The following is a 22,468-nucleotide window of genomic DNA, read 5'->3' on the forward strand; positions in this document are numbered from 1 at the left end:
GACAGTGAAGTTCTACTAATATCCAAATACTTTTAGAATATAAATCTTTGTAATAGTCCACATTACATATATTTAAATAAATACAGTTTAGTACTATAAAATCAGTTTAAATAATATGGAGTTCTAAACATAGAAAAATCATCATAGTTTTTTAATATAAAATTCTAAGAGCAGGCCGGGCGTGGTGGCTCACGCTTGTAATCCCAGCACTTTGGGAGGCCGAGGCGGGTGGATCACGAGGTCAGGAGATCGAGACCATCCTGGCTAACACGGTGAAACCCCGTCTCTACTAAAAATACAAAAAAAAAATTAGCCGGGCGTGATGGCGGGCGCCTGTAGTCCCAGCTACTCGGGAGGCTGAGGCAAGAGAATGGCGTGAACCTGGGAGGCGGAGCTTGCAGTGAGCCGAGATTGCGCCACTGCACTCCCGCCTGGGCCACAGAGCGAGACTCCGTCTCAAAAAAAAAAAAAAAAAAAAAAAAAAAAAAAAAATTCTAAGAGCAATGTATGTAATGTTTACTTTAAGAAATTTACTGAATTTATCTATCTCTCTAGGAGTATTTTCAGTGGATTTTATGAAATGTATTAAATTACATTTGCATTTGGATTACAATTTACACATATACTTCACTCCGTCTCTATTCTTAGTGAATTGCAAAATAACAGGAAAACCTAAAAGATATTTTACCTTTCTCTAAGAAGAATTTGGTTATTGACAAGTACTTCATTGAATTGATTTGTTTATATTGCATAATTCTGTAAAATGCGTGCATATGTATTGAGTTTAGATACATTTTCAGCTGACACTAATACATACAACTTTAAAATGTATCATAGAGGTTGAAAAATTCAACTTGAACTTGTAATCTAACAATCGTGATATCATGGACTGTTATATTTAGAAGGGGGTTTCAAGTGCATTTATTTTAGTACCTACTAAGTGTTTTAATCACTACAAATTCAAAGTTTATGTTTTAACTCATGCTTTGATAAATCTCTAATCACAGTAGTGTCTTATTTTGCTTGTTTTGTTTTTCTGACTACTCACTTTTATTTCCTCAACTAATATATTTAATTTTGGTTTCCATCATGTCAGTCACCTCTCTATATATACCTTAATTTTTCAAAGGTTTATTGAAAATGTCATACCAAGGATTAAACATTAGTTGATGTTTAACCCCTTTAAAATGTAATTGGATGATTCTTTCCCATAATCTAGGTAATATAATTTTGAAAATCTAAAACTGAGCTTCCTTACCTTCCTCCCTCTCTCCTTCTACCCTCCCATCCTATGTTCCCTCCACCCTTCTTTATTTTCTTCCTTCCATTCTTCCTTCTTCTTAACTCACTGAAATATTTCACTCCTTTCTTCCTCATAATTACCCTTCTTTGCGTTTTTAATTTTGCGGGGGCGGTGATGGATATGTAATGACAGTTGTAATGCTATGTGAAAACTTTATAGAACTTTTTATTCATTCAACAAGTATTTCTTGAGTGCTTTATTAGTTTTCTGTTGCTGAAACAAATAACCACAATTTAGTAGCATAAGACAACATGAATTTATTCTCTTATAATTCTGGAGGTAAGAAGTCCAGGATGGATTAGCAGTTTAGAGCTTTTCTTCTGAAAAATTTAGGGGATAATTTGTATCCTTGCCCTTTTCAATTTCTAGAGACAGCCTGTATTCCTTGGCCTCTTCTTTGCCATTACTACAACCTCTTGCTTCATCATTACATCTCCTGTTCACTCTGATCTTCCTGCCTCCCTCTTTCAAGGGCCTTTGTTATTACACTGGCCCACCAAGATAATCCACCATAAATTCTATATCAAAATCCATAACACAATCATGTTTGAAAAATCCCTTTTTACTATGTAAGGTAATGTAGTCACCAGTTAAGGGGATTCGAATGCAAACATCTTTGGGGGCAGGCATTATTTAGCCTAACACAAGTGCCTAATATGGTCCTGCAATAGTCAGAAAGCTGGAGATACAGTTTTAAACAAACATTATATTCTGTATCAGTGGCCCTTACATTCTAGAGGATAAAAAGTATACAGCATAATGACTTAATTTAAAACTCTGAAATGTTGTTTGGTGTAGGGAGAGTCTAAGATGACCCTGAATGACCTCTGTCTCCTAATATTTATGCCTTTATGTATTCCCCTCCAATCGAGTGTGGACAGAACCCAAAGATTCCCTTCCTAGGAATGGGATATGGCTATAATGATGGAATTCCATTTTCTGGAGTAGGTTACAGAAAGACTGTGGGTTCAATTTCTTTTTCTTTTTCTTTTTCAGAGATGAGGTTCTCTCTAGGTTGCCCAGGCTGGAGTGCAGCGGCTATTCGTAGGCACCATCCCACTACTGATCAATACTGGAGTTTTGACCTGCTCTGTTTCCTACCTGGGGTGGTTAACCCCTTCTCAGGCAACCTGGTGATCCCAGCTCCCGAGAAGTCACCATATTGATGCTGAACTTTGTGCAAACACTGATCAGCATAGTGCACTACAGCCCAGAACTCCTGGACTCAAGTTATCCTACTGCCTTAGCCTCCAGAGTAGTTGGGACTATAGGTATGCACCATTGCACACATCTGTAGGCTCCATTTTGCTCACTCATTTTCACTCACTCACTAGCTTGTTCTGAATGAAACTACCTGACAAGTTGTGAGATTCTCTCTGGAGAGTCCTATGTGGCAAGAAGCTGAGGGAAGCCTGGAGCCAACAACCAGTAAGGAACTAAGGTCCTTTATTCAACAACTCACTAGGAACTAAAGTGTGCCAACAGTTATATGAGTGGGCTTATTAACTTCCTCTCCTCAGTTGCAGCTTTGTGAGGAACTCTGACCTAGGGGTACCCAGCTAATCTGCACCCAGGCTTGTAAGCCACAGAAACTATGAGATACATGCTTGATGTTTACATTACTAAATTCTGGGGTCATTTGCTATGTAGCAATAGATAACTAATGCAGATTTTATTTAAATTTGGATTTGAATGCCATAGAGAAAGGCAAATAAGTTACCAGTGGAAGGTGTCCAGGATCTTGGCATTTTGAACAAAGAATTGGAAAAAATGCACAAACAAAGCAATGAAAGAATGAAGCAACAAAAGCAGAGATTTATTGAAAATAAAAGCACACGCCAGGTGGGAGCAGGCCTGAGCAAGTGGCTCAAGAGCCCGGTTACAGAATTTTCTGGGATTTTAATATCCTGTAGAGGTTTCCCATTGGTTACTTTGTATACGACCTATGCAAATGAGAGGATAAAGTGAGGTTACAAAGTAATTTACTTGATGTACACCCTATGCAAATGAAGAGGATGTTTTCTGCCATAGCTGAAGTTACAAAGTTATTTACTTGGTCATAGAAAGTTTTTTTTTTTTTTTCATTTGATTTACTTCTAGGTTTACTGCCCCCAAGACCCTATTTTCCTGCCTGAATAGAGAAGGTAAATATATTCATAATTTATGTATCTCCTGTTGTGGGACAACAATACACCCACAGTAAATATTTTAAAAAACACAATTATCCTATTGTTTTAATCTCATTTTTTAAAAAAAATCTCAATTAAAAACAATTATCATATCCACAATAAATACAATGAAGTGAAAAAAATAGTGTCCTGTGATAGCAAATAACTGAGAAACTGAATTAACTATGAAATCAGGGAAGTTTCTCTTTGAATATCCTTTGTAATTCAAGAATTAAAAAAAGAAAGGAAGTAGCCATGTAAAGGTTAGAAACAGTGTTTCATATACAATAAATGATTACGCATAAAAGCTAGAAGTGGGAATGAGCATAGTCTTCGAATATTAAAACAAAAACAAACAAAATATCCAAAGAGAATAATCAAAGATGAATCCTGATTTTTGTTTGAACACATTGGTAAATATTATCTCATTTATTTAAATATTATAAAGAAAAAATAAGTTTTAAAGCATAGAGACAATTAAAAGTCCAGCTTCGACCATAATATATTTGATTCAAAACATTCAATTATAGATGTCAAATAGGAATTTCTTAAAGAGATCAAGTTCTTTTATTCATTAGTTAGTTAACAAATATTCACCCTGTGTGAAAGATGTGGCAGCTCACAAGAATTCTGAGAAACATGCATTAAAAAGCCAACAGCATATAGATGGTGTATCAATTAGATATTCTATCCCTGTAAGTAACAAAATGCTTAACAAATAGTTGCTTAAATAGCAGGAGTTAATTTTTCTCACATAGCAAGTATTTTGAAGGTTAAAGGCTTGCTAACATTGGCTCAAGGACTCAAAAATGTCAGGAATCTGTGTTTCTGGGCATTTGTTTGTTTATTTGTTTGCTTTTTGATCTCCTGCTCACAGTAGCAGGTTCACTTACTTTAGGAATCTCTAATCTTACACTTGTGCAATTCTTTGAAAGTAAAAAAATTGGTAAAAAATTTTTGATTTACTCTCATGTAACTACATTATCTCGGTTTTCCACAAAAATATCATTCAATTCGTTATTGAAACATGGTTTATGATAGCTGGTATTAGTTCTGCTTTCTAGCTTCTTGGATCTGCAATTATGGTAAACATGTCTTTTCCATGAGATGGATATTCGACATTGGTCTGCACTGAGCCTAGAACAAAGATCTGTAGCACTCTATAGAACTCTATTAGGATCATTAGCAGTAGCAATAATTGGTATGTGGTGTGTGTGTGTGTGTCAGATTTTCAAATTAATTTTCATTGCAGAATTTGAAATCGAATCAAATTCATGATTCCAGAAAAATCTAAATCTTAATAAGGTTTTTACCAAACTTGATTTTAAAGGCGAGAATTCCATTAAAATGTATTTAAATATCATTCCAATGTAGAAATGTTATTATTTATAGGCAACATTTATCTGAGTTCTGTTTTTCAAATTATCTATTGCCATTCAGTGGGGTTTTTTTTGTTTATTTTGTTCTCTTTTTCTATAAAACATATATTTTATAACAATTAATTATTTTTAACCTATTTTCAGGGATGTCTTTCAATATCAGTTCATATTTCCTGCTTCTCTAGGCGTGGCATGAAATTCAAGAATATGAAATTTCCTGGCTCTGACATTCATTTATTCATTATGTGACCATTAAAAACTTATTATATATTCTCCACGTTAACAGATAGGGAATAATTATCCCATATTCAGATAATAATTTGGATAATAAAACTACATACTACACAGTATTATTAGCAATAGCTAAAATTATTATTATTTTTTTTTTAATTTTTTTTTTTATTATACTCTAAGTTTTAGGGTACATGTGCACATTGTGCAGGTTAGTTACATATGTATACATGTGCCATGCTGGTGCGCTGCACCCACTAACGTGTCATCTAGCATTAGGTATATCTCCCAATAATAGCTAAAATTATTTAAGGATTATTTATTTCAAGGCATCATTCTAAGCACTTTAGCTGTATTATTTCATCTTATCATCATAGCAACCCATAGAATAAGTGTACTGATAACCCCATTTAATAGATGAAAAATATTTAAATAATTTGCCCCGGATACACAGTTTATATGTGGTAGAACTGGAATTGAACCTGAAGCACACTGCCCTGAGAGCTCACACATTTAAACTCTAAATCTCAGTGGTTAAGTGAAGCTCATAGCAAGTATATTAAAAGAAGATATCAACCATTATCATGATTATGTTAATAAACTTTTACAATTTTGGTTATAGAAGTTGGATAACGTAATTCTACCTATGAATTCGGTAGGCAACCAATCAATTTATCTATACTGAAACCTCCTTGAATCTTTTGTGAATTGATGTAGGTTATCAATGGCCATTAATAAAAACAGCAATCAAACCAATACATAAAAAGCAGGTAAACTGAACGGCTTACTTTATAATTCACACTATAATGTAGTCATTATGTGACAGTGTAATATTTGAAAATAAATTTAAATATAAAAAATTGCCCATTTATAGATCTGTTCATTTTGACTCTCAAACATTTTTTATCAATACATGAGAAGGTTATTGAACAGACTGAACCTAGTATGTTCATAATAAAGTTTTATGTGTCTTCAGTCATCTCTCTCACCTTGCTTTTAAAACATGTAATTACATTTTAAGCAAACCCTATAGCTTTCAGGTCATTTTCAGTCCCCACTGGAACACTGCCTAGTGGAGCTGTGAGAAGAGGGCCACCATCCTCCAGAACTCAGAATTGTAGATCCACTGACAGCTCACACTGTGTGCCTGGAAAAGCCACAAGTTCACAACACCAGCTGTGAACACAGTCACAAGGGCTGTACCCTGCAAAGCCAAGAGGATGGAGCAGCCCAAGATCATGGGAGCCCACCCCTTTCATCAGCATGCCCTGGGTGTGAGATGTGTCAAATGAGACTATTTTGGAGCTTTAAGATGTAATGACTGCCCCACTGGATTTCAGACTTGCATGGGGTCTGTAGCCACTTTGTTTTGGCCAATTTCTCCCCTATGGAATGGGAACATTTATCCAATGACTGTACCCCCATTGTGTCTTGGAAATAACTAACTGGAGTTTGATTTTACAGGCTCCTAGGCAGAAGAGACTTGCCTTATCTCAGATAAGACTTTGGACTTGGAATTTTGGGTTAATGCTGAAATGAGTTAAGACTTTGGGGGACTGTTGGGAAGGCATGCTTGATTTTGAAACATTAAAAGGATGTGAGATCTGAGAGGGGCCAAAGGTGAAATGATATGTTTTGGCTCTGTGTCTCCACCCAAATATTATCACAAATTGTAATCCCCATAATCCCCAGTGTCAAGGGAGGGACCTGGTGGGAGGTGATTTAATTGTGGGGGCAGTTTCCTCCATGCTTTTCTTGTGATAATGAGTGAGTTCTCACAGGATCTTATGGTTTTATAAGTGTTTGACAGTTCCTCCTTCACAGAATCTCTCTCCTTCTGCCTTGTGAAGAAGGTGCCTGCTTCTTCTTCTATCATGATTATAAGTTTCTCGAGGCCTCCCCAGCTACATGGAGCTGTAAGTCCATTAAAACTCTTTCCTTTATAAATTATCCAGTCTTGGGTAGTTCTTTATAGCAGTGTGAAAATGGACTAATACACTGCATTTATATTTAAAAAGTTATAATAAGAGGTAAAAGCAATTATTTCTTTTTTTTTCTGTAATATAGCTCAGTATCTGTAGGAAGGCATATTCTTAAAGAGTATTGTTTAGATAGAAAGATAATTATTATTTAAAATGATTTGTTCATGTTAAAGAACATATTCACTTAATTAAAAAACATGCAAAAGGATTATAAGCTACTAAAAGTTAAATATTATTGAAATTATCAGAAAACTAAATAAATATCAATTAACCATTGTTATTTTGGAAAAAAACATTATACTTTGTGGAAAAGTATAATGTTTAAATTAAATTATGAAAATTTAATTTCTATTTCAAGTCAGAATATAACGTATTTCACTCTATGCCTAATATATAGTTTCCTGTCCTTCAAATTATATTAATGCCATTCAAAGTCCAAAATAATTTCATACAGAACTAGCACATTTATGGGAGAATATAAAGTGGAAAAGTACTTTTTCTTTTATCTTTCTCTTATTCTTTAAAGAATATAAAGTAGAAAAGTACTTATTCTTTTATTTTTCAGATCATATGGAATTTCAAAAAGAAATATTTGTTGCAGTGGGATTTTCTAATTAGCATATTTGTGTTAGGTTTCTCATTCTTCTGAATTTTTAAGTCATTTAAGTTTTTATTTCAGAACAGCTTATTAACCTCCCAATGCCTGTTCTACTCTTGTTACTGCAAAAGATGAGGGAAACAAAGTTCCAAAAGATGCATTGAGTTCTGATCTCCCTGCTGTTTTCTTTGTCATATTTTAATTTGTTTTCTCTCTGAGCTGCTTTTAATGGTTCTCTCTCTGTCTCTGTTTCTCTCTCTGGCTCTGACCTTGCTCTTTCTTCCTCCCAGAATTGAAATGTACATTTTTCCTACCTCTGATTCAGCCTAAGAAGGACCCCAAGGAAGACACTTTCTCAGATTTGCAAATCTGTGGAACCAATTATCTGCTGTCATTTGCCAACTTTCAGTTAGAGATCAATTTTTTCTTTCTGTTAGTTTTCTCATATGGCACACAAAGTTTTGTTTCTTACCAAATAAATCAAATTTTGCATCAATACAGTCTTACATCTAATGTAGTTCAATTCCTGTAAGGGTGAGTAGTCAATGTTACCGCTAAACACATCAACAGTTCTCTTTGCAGCATCCACCTTGACAACTATGATTCTCTCTCCTCTCTCCAACTATCATAAACTCTTCTTAACACGTTCTTGCTCACTCACCTGAATTCATTAGAGGATTAGTGTTCCCTTCCCAGACTTTTCAAGTGGGCAGACGTTCAGCATCCACATTCATGATGTTATATTTCATGTTGTTTCTTTTGGTTTCTTAGTACATTAAAATAATAAAACAAAAATATTTTGAGTATGGGCCTCTAACACACATATTTAGATCTCAATTATCCAAGGTAATATCTTACATGAAAAAAGGGATATAGTTTACAAATGTACCCTAGCTTCTTGATTTAAAACTGCAATTAATTAACATTAGCCAGATTTTTGTTTCCTAAAGAGATGTGAAACAAGAATTAGCTGAATAATTAAGTTCCTCGGAATAATATTTATGAAATTTCAGGCTGGGCAAATGGTGTATTTTAAAACCTATTTTGGATATACCTCAAAATGCTACTGTTAGTATCTATAATTTGAAGTTAAAATGGTATTATAAATATTGGCTTTTGAGTCACTATGTAGAAATATGAAAACATAAATTAACTGGCAAGTGACTAATATTCAGAGATTGGAGGAGAGGGTATGTGCTGCCTGTAGCAGTCAATAAAGGGAGAATAAATACAACCACTGTAATTCTTTTCTTAATGCTTTCCCACAAGGATGGAGATTGAGAATATTCAAATTTTAGAACAGAGACAGCTTTCTTCTCTAATTTGAGACTGATCAAACATACATACACTTGTCGAAGGTTTGTTTTTTACTTTAAGATAGTTTGGCTTTCCATATACTAGTCAATTTTTTGAAATCTCACAAGTCAATATGTAGTATAATGATCTCTTATGGATATAAAATAGTCATTTATGTGTGGAGTTCCTGAACCATTTTGTTAATGGCAATAAGGATTAGGAATTTTACAATTTTGTGTATTGATCAAATAATTGATTCCACCAGCTTTGATTTATTTGATGTAAAAAGTTGAGAAGAGTTTGAGTTGCTTTTTTTTAAACTGGTGTCCTTGCTGAAAGAAATACACTTAGGACAAAAGCCAAAATAGACAAATGAGATCTAATTAAACTGAAGAGCTTCTGCACAGCAAAAGAAACTATCATCAGAGTGAACAGGCAACCTACAGAATGGGAGAACATTTTTGCAATCTATCCATCTGACAAAGGGCTAATATCCATGAACTGCAAAAAACTTAAACAAATGTACAAGAAAAAAACAAATAACCCTATCAAAAAGTGGGCAAAGGATATGAACGAACACTTCTCAAAAGAAGATATTTATGCAGCCAACAGACATGAAAAAATGCTCATCATCACTGGTCATCAGAGAAATGCAAATCAAAACCACAATGAGATATCATCTCACACCAGTTAGAACGGTGATCATTAAAAAGTCAGGAAATAACAGATGCTAGAGAGGATGTGGAGAAATAGGAATGCTTTTACACTGTTGCTAGGAGTGTAAATTAGTTTAACCATTGGTTTAACCATTGTGCAAGACAGTGTGGTGATTCCTCAAGGATCTAGAACTCGAAATACCATTTGATCTAGCAATCCCATTACTGGGTATATACCCAAAGGATTATAAATCATGCTGCTATAAAGACACATGCACACATATGTTTATTGTAGCACTATTCACAATAGCAAAGACTTGGAACCAACCAAATGTCCATCAATGATAGACTGGATTAAGAAATTGTGGCAAACATACACCATGGAATACTATGCAGCCATAAAAAAGATGAGTTCATGTCCTTTGCAGGGACATGGATGAAGCTGGAAACCATCATTATAAGCAAACTATCACAAGAACAGAACACCAAACATGTTCTCACTCATAGGTGGGAGTTAAACAATGAGAACACATGGACACAAGGCAGAGAACATCACACACCAGGGCTGGCTGGGGGGTTGGGGGCTGGGGGAGGGATTGCATTAGGGGAAATACCTAATGTAAATGACAAGTTGATGGGTGCAGCAAACCAACATGGCCAATTTATACCTATGTAACAAACCTGCACGTTGTGCACATGTACCCTAGAACTTAAAGTATAAAAAAAAAAAGAGTTCAGGCTGGGCACAGTGGCTCACGCCTGTAATCCCAGCACTTCTGGAGGCCCATGCCTCCCAAAGTGCTGGGATTACAGGAGGGAGCAACCTCGCCCGGCCAGTAATCATTATTAAAAGAGGTTGTTTTTAATTAATCTTCTGGTCTTCCTTTTTGGTGCTAAAAAGCTAAAGTAGCATGGCTTTTTTATATCAATACTTTCAAATTTTATTTTATTGCTCAAAATTTCAATAGATATTTTTAGTTACAAAAAAAAAAAAAAAAACAGAATAAGGCCTTGTTGTATTAGGAAAATAAGATTGCATTAAAGGACATAAGGTAGATTGTAGAATCTCTGGAATGACCAGAGAGTTGGGCTCCTAAATTATGCAGCCAGAATCCCCATAGGCATTTTTGGGGATGTTCTGGCAAGAACCCCACAGCTGCTACTGTTGGGCACCTCACCTTAAAATACGCAGGCTCTTCATCTTGCACATACGAAGCTTGAGGCACAGCTGTCATTCATCCTGGTGGAGCATGGCAGCTCATTCACAGCTGTCCGTATAAAGCTACTTTTCTATGTTATCATACTCTCAAAGCCAGGGGTTCCTCACCTATCCACTTACTCCTATCACATCACAGGTTATGCAGGTGCTTGCTTATGCTGAAGCTTTGAAGACGGCCTAGAAAACATTTTTTGGTGTTGTTTTCACTGTGATAAGTTGGGACACACATTTTAAGACATGATTTTAAGAATGAGAAGGATGTTCAAAGATGATCAGCCACACATGCCTGTGGTAGCTACTCCTTACAGCCCTAACATCACCGCACAACTTCTATCACATTTAAACTTTCCATCATCAACAAAAATTGCATCACTAACAATAGGCAATATAGGAGAGGCAAATGTCTATCTCTACTTCTTTTTTTCAGCTGAGCCTGAGAATTAAATTGATATAAGACAGATTCCCAGAGAAAGGCATCCAAATGTATATAAGTTTTGAGTGACATAGGAACCCTCATAAGGAAGTGAAAGCCCAAAGAACTGACAAAGTCTTAATGCTTTTATGCTAGATTGAACACAGAATATTTGAAAAAGTAACTAAATCATGTGGGAGGTCAAAGGAAGATAAGAATTATTTTAACAAGGTCTGTTTGTACAGGATTCTCTTGGCTGTGACTCCCCATCAAAAAATGTTTTATTTTGTCTTGGTAGAAGGGAGGTGTCTTTCACATGGGGGTTCTAATCTCCTGTTTTCAGAAAGAAAAGGAAATAATTCGAATTCCCTTGTTACATCTGCTGTTTTTTCAAGTGCCTTTAGCCCAAAATAATCCTCATGCAAGAGTGGCATATTTTGGGTGGCATATTCTGCCACTTTTCAGTAACTTTCCTTTATTAAATGGTAAACCTCCCTCCACACACACCAAGCAGCACAAATCAATGTCTAATCTCTGACTGTAATCACTTCTAGGTCTGACTTTGTTAGTTCTGCAGCAATCCTGTCATGGTATATATAATCCGTGGCTTACATAACAACAAACAAACAACAACAACAAAAAAAACACTACTCCATTTTATATAAAATGGTTGAACATGAGAGGGGAAAAAAAGTATAATTAAGTTAAATATATAAATAGCACAACGAGAGTGAAGGTTGAGAAGATACTACACTTCCTGTTTTTGTAACATGTTATGAAACCACACATAGATTTAATAACATCACAAGCCTTTCAATGTTTATCTCACTTATCTAGCAGCTCCTCTATGATGCTTTACCTGTTGTGGAAACTGGATTTTTAGAATGCAAGTTTTTCAGCCCTGATGGCTCTTCCCGAAAGAAGTTGTTAAAGTAATCCATGTGCTTTAACCATTGGACATAACAATATTAATAAAACTCTGAGAGAAGCCCCTAACTTTTTGACTTATTTATCTGTGTGCTTAGATCTTAAAATCAAATCCCACAGTGATAATGATGTGAAAAATAGTTTTGCAAGAAGAGTAAAAAGAGTAATAGGGGCGGGGCACAGTGGCTCATGCCTGTAACCCCAGCACTTTGGGAGGCTGAGGCGGGTGGATCACAAGGTCAGGAGTTTGAGACCAGCCTGACCAATATGGTGAAACCCTGTCTCTACTAAAAATAAAAATACAAAAATTAGCCAGGCGTGGTGGCACATGCCTGTAGTCCCAACTACTCAGGAGGCTGAGGCAGAAGAATCACTTGAACCTGGGAGGCGGAGGTTGCAGTAAGCCAAGATTGCCCCACTGCACTCCAGCCTGGGCGAGAGAGTGAGACTCCGTCTCAAAAAAAAAAAAAAAAAAAAAAAAAAAAGAGTAATAGGGAGAGAGATACCACTTTCACCTTTCACTTTAACTTCTTGGATTTTGGAATTACAATTTTTGACTATGGGAGGACTACCTTGTACACGGGCTGCTAGCTCAGTACACATAAGACATGCCTCTCAACTTCACAAGATGTCCTTCAGCTGATGCACCCTTCAGTGAATCTTCATACTCTTCTATAGGGCCAGTTTCTGCCTGATAATGAGACCTGTCCAAAGTGAAGTGAGGCTCATAAAAATTAGCTCACTGCCTTACTATTCTGTGTGCAAAGGATGGTGAATATGCGAGCCGGAATTTCTTCAAATGGTAGAAAATATTGTTCTGCTTCCTATGGATATTGTCAGGATTAAGTAAAAGAACAAAAGAGTAAGCTGACTTTTGGCATCGGAGTGAGCTCTTTCTTGTTAGTGAGAAACCTGGTAGCCTCAATTTGATAAAAGTACGAAGAGCCACTAACAGTTATTGAGTACTTAATTTATGCTACAAACACTAACCGTTATTGAGTACTTAGTTTATGCTACAAATTTTATGTGTTACTATATTTTATTCTAAAAAAATTGATTGATTAGATACAACTATGTTTCCCAATTTATAGAATATGAAACTGAGTCTGAGACAAGTAAAGTCATTTGCCCAAGGACCACCCACCTTAGTGAAAGGCAATGTTCTTTACTCCAGAGTTTACACCTTTAGTAGCAATGCACTTCTTACTGACTGCATAGTAATCTAATATATATAAAGGCATTTGTTCACTCAGCTTAAGCAGCATATTCTGAAAATAATTTCTAATTCTTCATGGAAAATTTTATAAATTTAATCTTTAGGTAATAATAAGTGTAGAGCTCTGGAAGGCAGCAGTATGCTGTGATTTTAACTTGGTTTTATTTATTTATTTTCGAGATGGAGTCTCTGTCACCCAGGCTGGAGTGCAGCCGCATGATCTCAGTTCACTGCAACCTCCACCTCCCAGGTTCAAGCGATTCTCCTGCCCCCGCCTCCCTAGTAACTGGGATTACAGGCATGCACCACCACCCTCAGCTAACTTTTGTATTCTTAGCAGAGATGGGATTTCACCATGTTGGCCAGGCTGGTCTCAAACTCCTGACCTCAAGTGATCCGCTCACCTTGGCCTCCCAAAGTGCTGGGATTAGAGGCATGAGCCACCGTGCCTGTGTCTTAGCTTGGTTTTCTATCCTGGGAAATTTACAAAGGTCAACCTTTCCAAGGTATTTGAGCCTTTTATTCTTGTTAAACACATATTTGACAAATATGTCTATAATAGATAGATAGATAGATAGATAGATAGATAGATAGATAGATAGATAGATATAGTGCATATCATTCATGTGGGTTGGGCCATAATGCAAGTCATTTGAAAACCTACATAATAAATAAAAACAGGTTAAAATATCAAAGCATTCCATAAAGATCCCCTCATAGAGTCAAAGGATCTAAGCAAAACGAACACTGTGCTAGTAAGTTCTAGAAAATAACTTATTAAACTAAGAGTTGAAAAGGAAAGACTGTAAGATGGACTGACTTGATCCTGATCCTGGCTCCACCATACTCCAGCTTTGTGAGTGTGAGCAAGCTACACAAACTCTCCATGCCCAACTTTCCTCATGTGTTCAATGTAGATAATAATGCCACTCTCTTTCAGGGTTGATTGAAGATTAAGGGAATTAATACATTTAAAACACTTTCACATGTACTATGTGTTTGCCGTTATTATGAACACAAATATTTTAGCCACTTAAGATTGCACTTTCTATGTGATGCATTATTTTATACCAAATTGTAAATGCATTTCAAAGCAAATTTACTTAAATATCAGGAAATGAGATGAAGGTGAGGCTCTAGGCAGTTTGGGAAAAGAGTAACTATGGTAGATGAACAGAACAGAAGGGTAAGATTCAGGATATGCGACTATGGTAAGAGAAAAAGGAATCTGATAGAGCTCTGTGATGCATGTAAATATGAACCTGAGTGAAAACCCTTTTTATGGCTTCATGTCATGCTAATATTCATGTTGTCAGCTTCAGGCACTTTGTCAATGTGACCCAGTCTCTAAATCATTCTATTACCATGGCTATAGTCACAGGTTCTCCTGCTAAAACTAAAAGTTTATGATAGCTTATCTCTGCCCTTTGCAGCACACTGTTAATGGGGTCAATTCCTCATGTCAGACAATACTTTCAGGTCTTTTTAAAAGGATGTCAATCCATCTAAGTTTTATATCTGTGTAAGTCTACAAAAATTTATAACTCTTTTCCTCTTGTACTTTACAACTTTATAGCAACACTACAAAGAAATTAAATGACAGAGAGAGACAACTGAATTACAGGAAAACTGGAAGTTAAGGTTCAGCCTTTGTAAAAAAAAATCACTGCCAATGTTTAATTTATATTACTTCACTCTGGCACAACATAATATGTAGATTATTATTTTATAGAAAAATAATTCTTAAATGTATTTTCCATTCAATTTAGTCTCATTGACTAAAAAGTCCCAAATAACATCACTATAACAGGTGCATAACAGGAAAGACAAGATGACACAGCTAAGAGACTCTTATTTTTAAATTATCATCTATTTTCTACGGTTTCAGCGAGTATAATTGTTAAGTGAGGGAAAACTTAACTGAATTAACTGTTCACTATTTACCTGCCTTTCACTGATTCTGACCTTAACATATTATTTTAATAAGAGGTTTTCTAGGAAAAGTGAGATAATTTTTTAAAAATTATTTTATTGTTATTATACTTTAAGTTTTAGGGTACATGTGCACAATGTGCAGGTTAGTTACATATGTATACATGTGCCATGCTGGTGTGCTGCACCCATTAACTCGTCATTTAGCATTAGGCATATCTCCTAATGCTATCCTTCCCCCCTCCCCCCACCCCACAACAGTCACCAGAGTATGATGTTCCCCTTCCTGTGTCCATGTGTTCTCATTGTTCAATTCCCACCTATGAGTGAGAACATGCGGTGTTTCGTTTTTGTCCTTGGGATAGTTTACTGAGAATGATGGTTTCCAGCTTCATCCATATCCCTATAAAGGACATGAACTCATCATTTTTTATGGTTGCATAGTATTCCATGGTGTATATGTGCCACATTTTCTTAATCCAGTCTATCATTGTTGGACATTTGGGTTGGTTCCAAGTCTTTGCTATTGTGAATAGTGCCACAATAAACATACATGTGCATGTGTCTTTATAGCAGCATGATTTATAGTCCCTTGGGTATATACCCAGTAATGGGATGGCTGGGTCAAATGGTATTTCTAGTTCTAGATCCCTGAGGAAACGCCACACTGACTTCCACAATGGTTGAACTAGTTTACAGTCCCACCAACAGTGTAAAAGTGTTCCTATTTCTCCACATCCTCTCCAGCACCTATTGTTTCCTGACTTTTTAATGATTGCCTTTCTAACTGGTGTGAGATGGTATCTCATTGTGGTTTGGATTTGCATTTCTGTGATGGCCAGTGATGGTGAGCATTTTTTCATGTGTTTTTTGGCTGCATAAATGTCTTCTTTTGAGAAGTGTCTGTTCATGTCTTCTGCCCACTTTTTGATGGGGTTGTTTGTTTTTTTCTTGTAAATTTGTTTGAGTTCATTGTAGATTCTGGATATTAGCCCTTTGTCAGATGAGTAGGTTGCGAAAATTTTCTCCCATTTTGTAGATTGCCTGTTCACTCTGATGGTAGTTTCTTTTGCTGTGCAGAAGCTCTTTAGTTTACTTAGATCCCATTACTCAATTTTGCCTTTTGTTGCCATTGTTTTTGGTGTTTTAGACATGAAGTCCCTGCCCATGCCTATGTCCTGAATGGTAATGCCTAGGTTTTCTTCTAGGGTTTTTATGGTTTTAGGTCTAATGTTTAAGTCTTTAATCCATCTTGAATTAATTTTTGTATAAGGTATAAGGAAGGGATCCAGTTTCAGCTTTCTACATATGGCTAGCCAGTTTTCCCAGCACCATTTATTAAATAGGGAATCCTTTCCCCATTGCTTGTTTTTCTCAGGTTTGTCAAAGATCAGATAGTTGGAGATACGCGGCATTATTTCTGAGGGCTCTGTTCTGTTCCATTGATCTATACCTCTGTTTTGGTACCAGTACCTGCTGTTTTGGTTACTGTAGCCTTGTAATATAGTTTGAAGTCAGGTAGCGTGATGCCTCCAGCTTTGTTCTTTTGGCTTAGGATTGATTTGGCAATGTGAGCTCTTTTTTGGTTCCATATGAGCTTTAAAGTAGTTTTTTCCAATTCTGTGAAGAAAGGCATTGGTAGCTTGATGGGGATGGCATTGAATCTATAAATTACCTTGGGCAGTAGGGCCATTTTCACGATATTGATTCTTCCTACCCATGAGCATGGAATGTTCTTCCATTTGTTTGTATCCTCTTTTATTTCATTGAGCAGTGGTTTGTAGTTCTCCTTGAAGAGGTCCTTCACGTCCCTTGTAAGTTGGATTCCTAGGTATTTTATTCTCTTTGAAGCAATTGTGAATGGGAGTTCACTCATGATTTGGCTCTCTGTTTGTCTGTTATTGGTGTATAAGAATGCTTGTGATTTTTGTACATTGATTTTGTATCCTGAGACTGCTGAAGTTGCTTATCAGCTTGAGGAGATTTTGGGCTGGGATGATGTGGTTTTCTAGATATACAATCATGTCATCTGCAAACAGGGAAAATTTGACTTCTTCTTGTCCTAATTGAATACCCTTTATTTCCTTCTCCTGCCTAATTGCCCTAGCCAGAACTTCCAACACTATGTTGAATAGGAGTGGTGAGAGAGGGCATCCCTGTCTTGTGCCAGTTTTCAAAGGGAATGCTTCCAGTTTTTGCCCATTCAGTATAATATTGGCTGTGGGTTTGTCCTAGATAGCTCTTATTATTCTGAGATACGTCCCATCAATACCTAATTTATTGAGAGTTTTTAGCATGAAGTGTTGTTGAATTTTGTCAAAGGCCTTTTCTGCATCTATTGAGATAATCATGTGGTTTTTGTCTTTGGTTCTGTTTATATGCTGGATTACATTTATTGATTTGCATATATTGAACCAGCCTTGCATCCCAGGGATGAAGTCCACTTGATCATGGTGGATAAGCTTTTTGATGTGATGCTGGATTCGGTTTGCAGTATTTTATTGAGGAATTTTGCATCAATGCTCATCAATGATATTGGTCTAAAATTCTTTTTTTTGGTTGTGTCTCTGCCCGGCTTTGGTATCAGGATGATGCTGGCCTCATAAAATGAGTTAGGGAGGATTCCCTCTTTTTCTATTGATTGGAATAGTTTCAGAAGGAATGGTACCCGTTCCTCCTTGTACCTCTGGTAGAATTCGGCTGTGAATCCATCTGGTCCTGGACTCTTTTTCGTTGGTAAGCTATTGAATATTGCCACATTTTCAGAGCCTGTTATTGGTCTATTCAGAGAGCGAACTTCTTCCTGGTTTAGTTTTGGGAGGGTGTATGTGTCGAAGAATTTATCCATTTCTTCTAGATTTTCTAGTTTATTTGCGTAGAGGTGTTTGTAGTATTCTCTGATGGTAGTTTGTATTTCTGTGGTATCTGTGGTGATATCCCCTTTGTCACTTTTTATTGCATCTATTTGATTCTTCTCTCTTTTCTTCTTTATCAGTCTTGCTAGTGGTCTATCAATTTTGTTGATCCTTTCAAAAAACCAGCTCCTGGATTCATTAATTTTTTAAAAAAATTGAAGTCTTTCAGTTACACTCTCTTGGATGTACGGTATAATCACAAGAATAATACTAATAGTTATAATAATAATTACTCATTTTAATACCTAACTTTTAATAATAATAGCTAACCTTTTTAGGATATTTTCTAGGTGCCAATACAGTTTTAAATATTGTATATATAGTGACTCGTTTAGTCATCATGACAGTCATTTAACCATTTACCTCATTTATCAGATGACAGAAGATAACTACAAAAAGGTTAAGTAATTTGCCTGAGGAAATTAGTAGCAGAGCCGAGAATCAATTCCAGTCTCTTGAATCCTAAAAGCCCTTGCTTTTTAAAAGAGCCACCGTATCAGTTTGCCATGTGTACCTGCAGATCCCCATTCTGGCATTGCATGTGGCATTATAAGGGTCTTCCTGGTGCAATTACTGAGGGTTGAATCCAGGAATACAGGTATTTCACCTTAACTTCCATTTTATCTCTCACTCTACGGGCATAAAGTGAGAATTACAGGTGTTACTCAACTCAAGCTTATAGGAAATAAATGTTGCTGATTGTTCTGTATGTATGTCTTCCCTCAGATTTATGGGACTAATTTTAGGGAAGTATCTGCTCACATTCCACCTCTTCAGATAAATCTTTGATAAACTCTGGATCTAATGAAAAATTAGATTTCTGCCCCCTTAGCTTGTTACATGTTTTTCTTCATAGCATTTTCCACTGACATTTTTTTTTACTTTTTTACTTTAAATTTACTTTATTTTTTTTACTTAACTAGCTGCCTCATCATTGATATTGTAAAGTTCATGATAAATTTTGTGTTGTTCACCTCTCTATCCCTAATATCTGGAAAATTACCTAGTATATAGTAAATGCTCAATAACTATTTGTTTAGTAAATTGTTAATGAACGAGTTCAAGGTTGGGTGGAATAAATACCTGGAAAAAAATCACTCACAGGGAACTCATAATAATGATTATTTCTAGAGAGGCAGATTATATAAATGAAACATAAGAAAAAATAAGACTTTTTCCTCCTTGTAAAACTTTCTGCTGTTAGGATTTTATTAAAGTAAATATAGACATTTACTATTTTTAGTTTAACACGATTACCATTTGCAACTACTTTTTGTTTCCAAAAAGATTTTGTAAGGCCTATGCAACCCAAACAGATATATTTTTATACCAATATAAATTAAATACTGACCGTCATGCACATGTTTGTGGGGTCATCTGCTGCCCTGCTGGAGGTGTGCACGAGCATGTGGACTCCCATCGACTTGCCACTGCCCTGCCAAAGCACTTTTGATAAGCATCATCCATTTGAGTATTGTTGCCAGCAGACTGAGAACACCTCTGACCAACTAGCACAGCAGGTGCTTAACCTCCAGGGGCCAGATAGCAAAGCAGTGGGCCAGGTCCTAGCCCTGCAAAAGTTAGAGCATGCAGCACAGGAGTCCCAGTATTGCCCCTCTGAGATTATCAAGAAATGAAGCCAACCAACTAAACCCAACTTACACTACAGTAAAATCCTCAAGGGCATCAAAAAATATAGAAACGAAAAGTGCCATATACAAACATTAAAGTCCACCTAGAGGAGAAAGAAAGTCCAAGAACTACAGCAACTCTAAATGCCAGGTTGTCTTTTTACCTCCAAATGCCTCCACTAGCTCCCCAGCAGAGGTTCTTAATCAAACTGAAATGACTGAAATGGCAGACATAGAATTTAGAATCTGACTGGCAATGAAGATCATTAAGATTCAGTAGAAATTTGAAAGACAATCAGAGGAATCTAAGGAATCCTATAAAATGATACAAGTGATGAAAGAAGAAATAGCCATTTTAAGAAAGAACCAAACTACTCTAGAGCTGAAAACTCACTACAAGAATTTCATAATACAGTCGGAAATATTAACAGCAGAATAGAGCAAGTTCTGAGAAGAGAATCTCAGAACTTACAGACTGGTTCCTTGAATCAACTCAATCAAACAAAAATAATTTGAAAAATGAAGAAAACCCCTGAGAAATATGGGATTATGTAAGGAAATCAAATCTATGACTCATTGCCATTACAGCAAGAGAGGGAGAGAAAGCAAGCTATTTTGGAAATATATTTCAGACTATTGCCCAGGAAAATTTCCATAGCCTAACTAGAGAGGTTGATATACAAATTTAGGATATTCAGAGAATCCCAAAAATATTCTATACAAGATGACCATCCTCGCAACATAATCATCAGGCTCTCCAAGGTCAATGTGAAAGAAATAAGTATAAAAGGTGACTAGAGATAAGGGCAATGTCACATACAAAAGGAACCTCATCAAACTAACAGTAGATTTTTCAGCAGAAACCTTACATGCCAGAAGAGAATAAGGGTCTACATTCAGCATCCTTAAAGAAAAAAATTTTCCAACTGCAAATTTTATATCCAGCCAAACTCAACATTATAAGTGAAGGAGAAATACAATCCTTTTCTGACAAACAAATATTAAGGAAATTCATTACCACAACACCCCCTTTACAAGAGGTATTTAAGGGAGTGCTAAACATGGAAATGAAAGACTGTTACCTGACTGAGCACAGTGGCTCACTCCTGTAATTGCAGCACTTTGGGAAGCCGAGGTGGGTGGATCACTTGAGGTCAGGAGTTCGAGACCAGCCTGGCCAACATGGTGAAATCCTATCTCAACTAAAAAATACAAAAATTAGCTAGGTCTGGTGGCCTGTGACTGTAATCCCAGCTACTCAGGAGGCTGAGGCAGAATTGCTTGAACCTGGGAGGTGGAGGTTGCCGTGAGCTGGGATCATGCCACTGTACTCCAGCCTGGGGGACAGAGCAAGACTTCTGTCTGAAAAAAAAGAAAAAGAAAAACTATTATCTGCCACCACACACACACACACACACACACCCCAAAGTACACAGCCCACTGACACTCTAAAGCAACTATACAATCAAGTTCGCATAACAACTAGCTAACAACATAACATAATCAAATCCTCACATGTCAATATTAACCTTTAATGTAAATGGGCTAAATGTCCCTTAAAAGGCACAGAGTGGCAAATTGGATAAAGAAGCAAAACTCAACTGTATCCTGTCTTCAAGAGAACCATCTCATATGCAATGACACCCATAGGCTCAAAGTAAAAGGAAAGGAAAAGATCTATCAAGCAAACAGAAAACATAGAAGAACAAGGGTTGCTATTTTTATTTTAGATGAAACAAACTTTAAATCAACAATGATCAGAAAGGACAAATAAGGACATTACATAATGACAAAGGGTTCACTTCAGTATAATGATCCTAAATATATATGCCCCAAGTCAGGAGCAGCATATTAATAAAATAATTTTTAGAGACCTAAAAGGGACTTAGATAATAACGCAATAATAGTAGGAGCCTTCAACATCCCACTGACAGTATTAGATCATCAAGGAAAAAAACTAACAAAGAATTTGAGACCTAAACTCAACACTTGACCAAATAGACCTAACAGACATCTACAGAATATGCCACAGAACAAGAGAATATACATTCTTCTCATCTGCATATAGCAATACTCTAGAGTCAACAAAATGCTCAGCCGTAAAGCAATTCTCAAGAAACAGCACAAAAAAAACAAAATTATACCAATAACACTCTCGGACCACACACAATAACAATAAAAATCAATATCAAGAAGATCTCTCAAAACCATACAATTAAATGGAAATTTAGAAACCTGCTCCTGAATGAATTTTGAGTAAATGACAAAATTAAGGCAGAAATTAAGAAATTCTTTGACAACAATGAAACCAAAGATTTAACATACCAGAATATCTGAGACACAGGTAAAGCAGTGTTAAAAGGAAAGTTTATAGTGCTAAGTTCCTACATCAAAAAGTTAGAAAGATCTCAAATTAACAACCTAACATCACAATTAAGGGAAGCAGAAAAACAAGAGCAAATCAACTCCAAAGATAGCAGAAGAAAAGAAATAACCAAAATCAAAGCAGAACTGAATAAAATTTAGATGTGAAAATCCATACAAAAATCAATGAAACAGAAAGTTGCTTCTCTGAAAGAATAAATAAGATGAATAGACCACTA

The 22,468-nt window shown here is 36.1% G+C and overlaps 1 pseudogene; it reads right to left on the reverse strand.

Moving 5' to 3' along the window:
• RN7SL691P (RNA, 7SL, cytoplasmic 691, pseudogene) lies at positions 2,298-2,584 on the reverse strand (annotated as a pseudogene).

The sequence above is a fragment of the Homo sapiens genome, chromosome 4, assembly GCF_000001405.40.
Source record: "Homo sapiens chromosome 4, GRCh38.p14 Primary Assembly".
In the NCBI taxonomy this organism is placed as follows: Eukaryota; Metazoa; Chordata; class Mammalia; order Primates; family Hominidae; genus Homo; species Homo sapiens.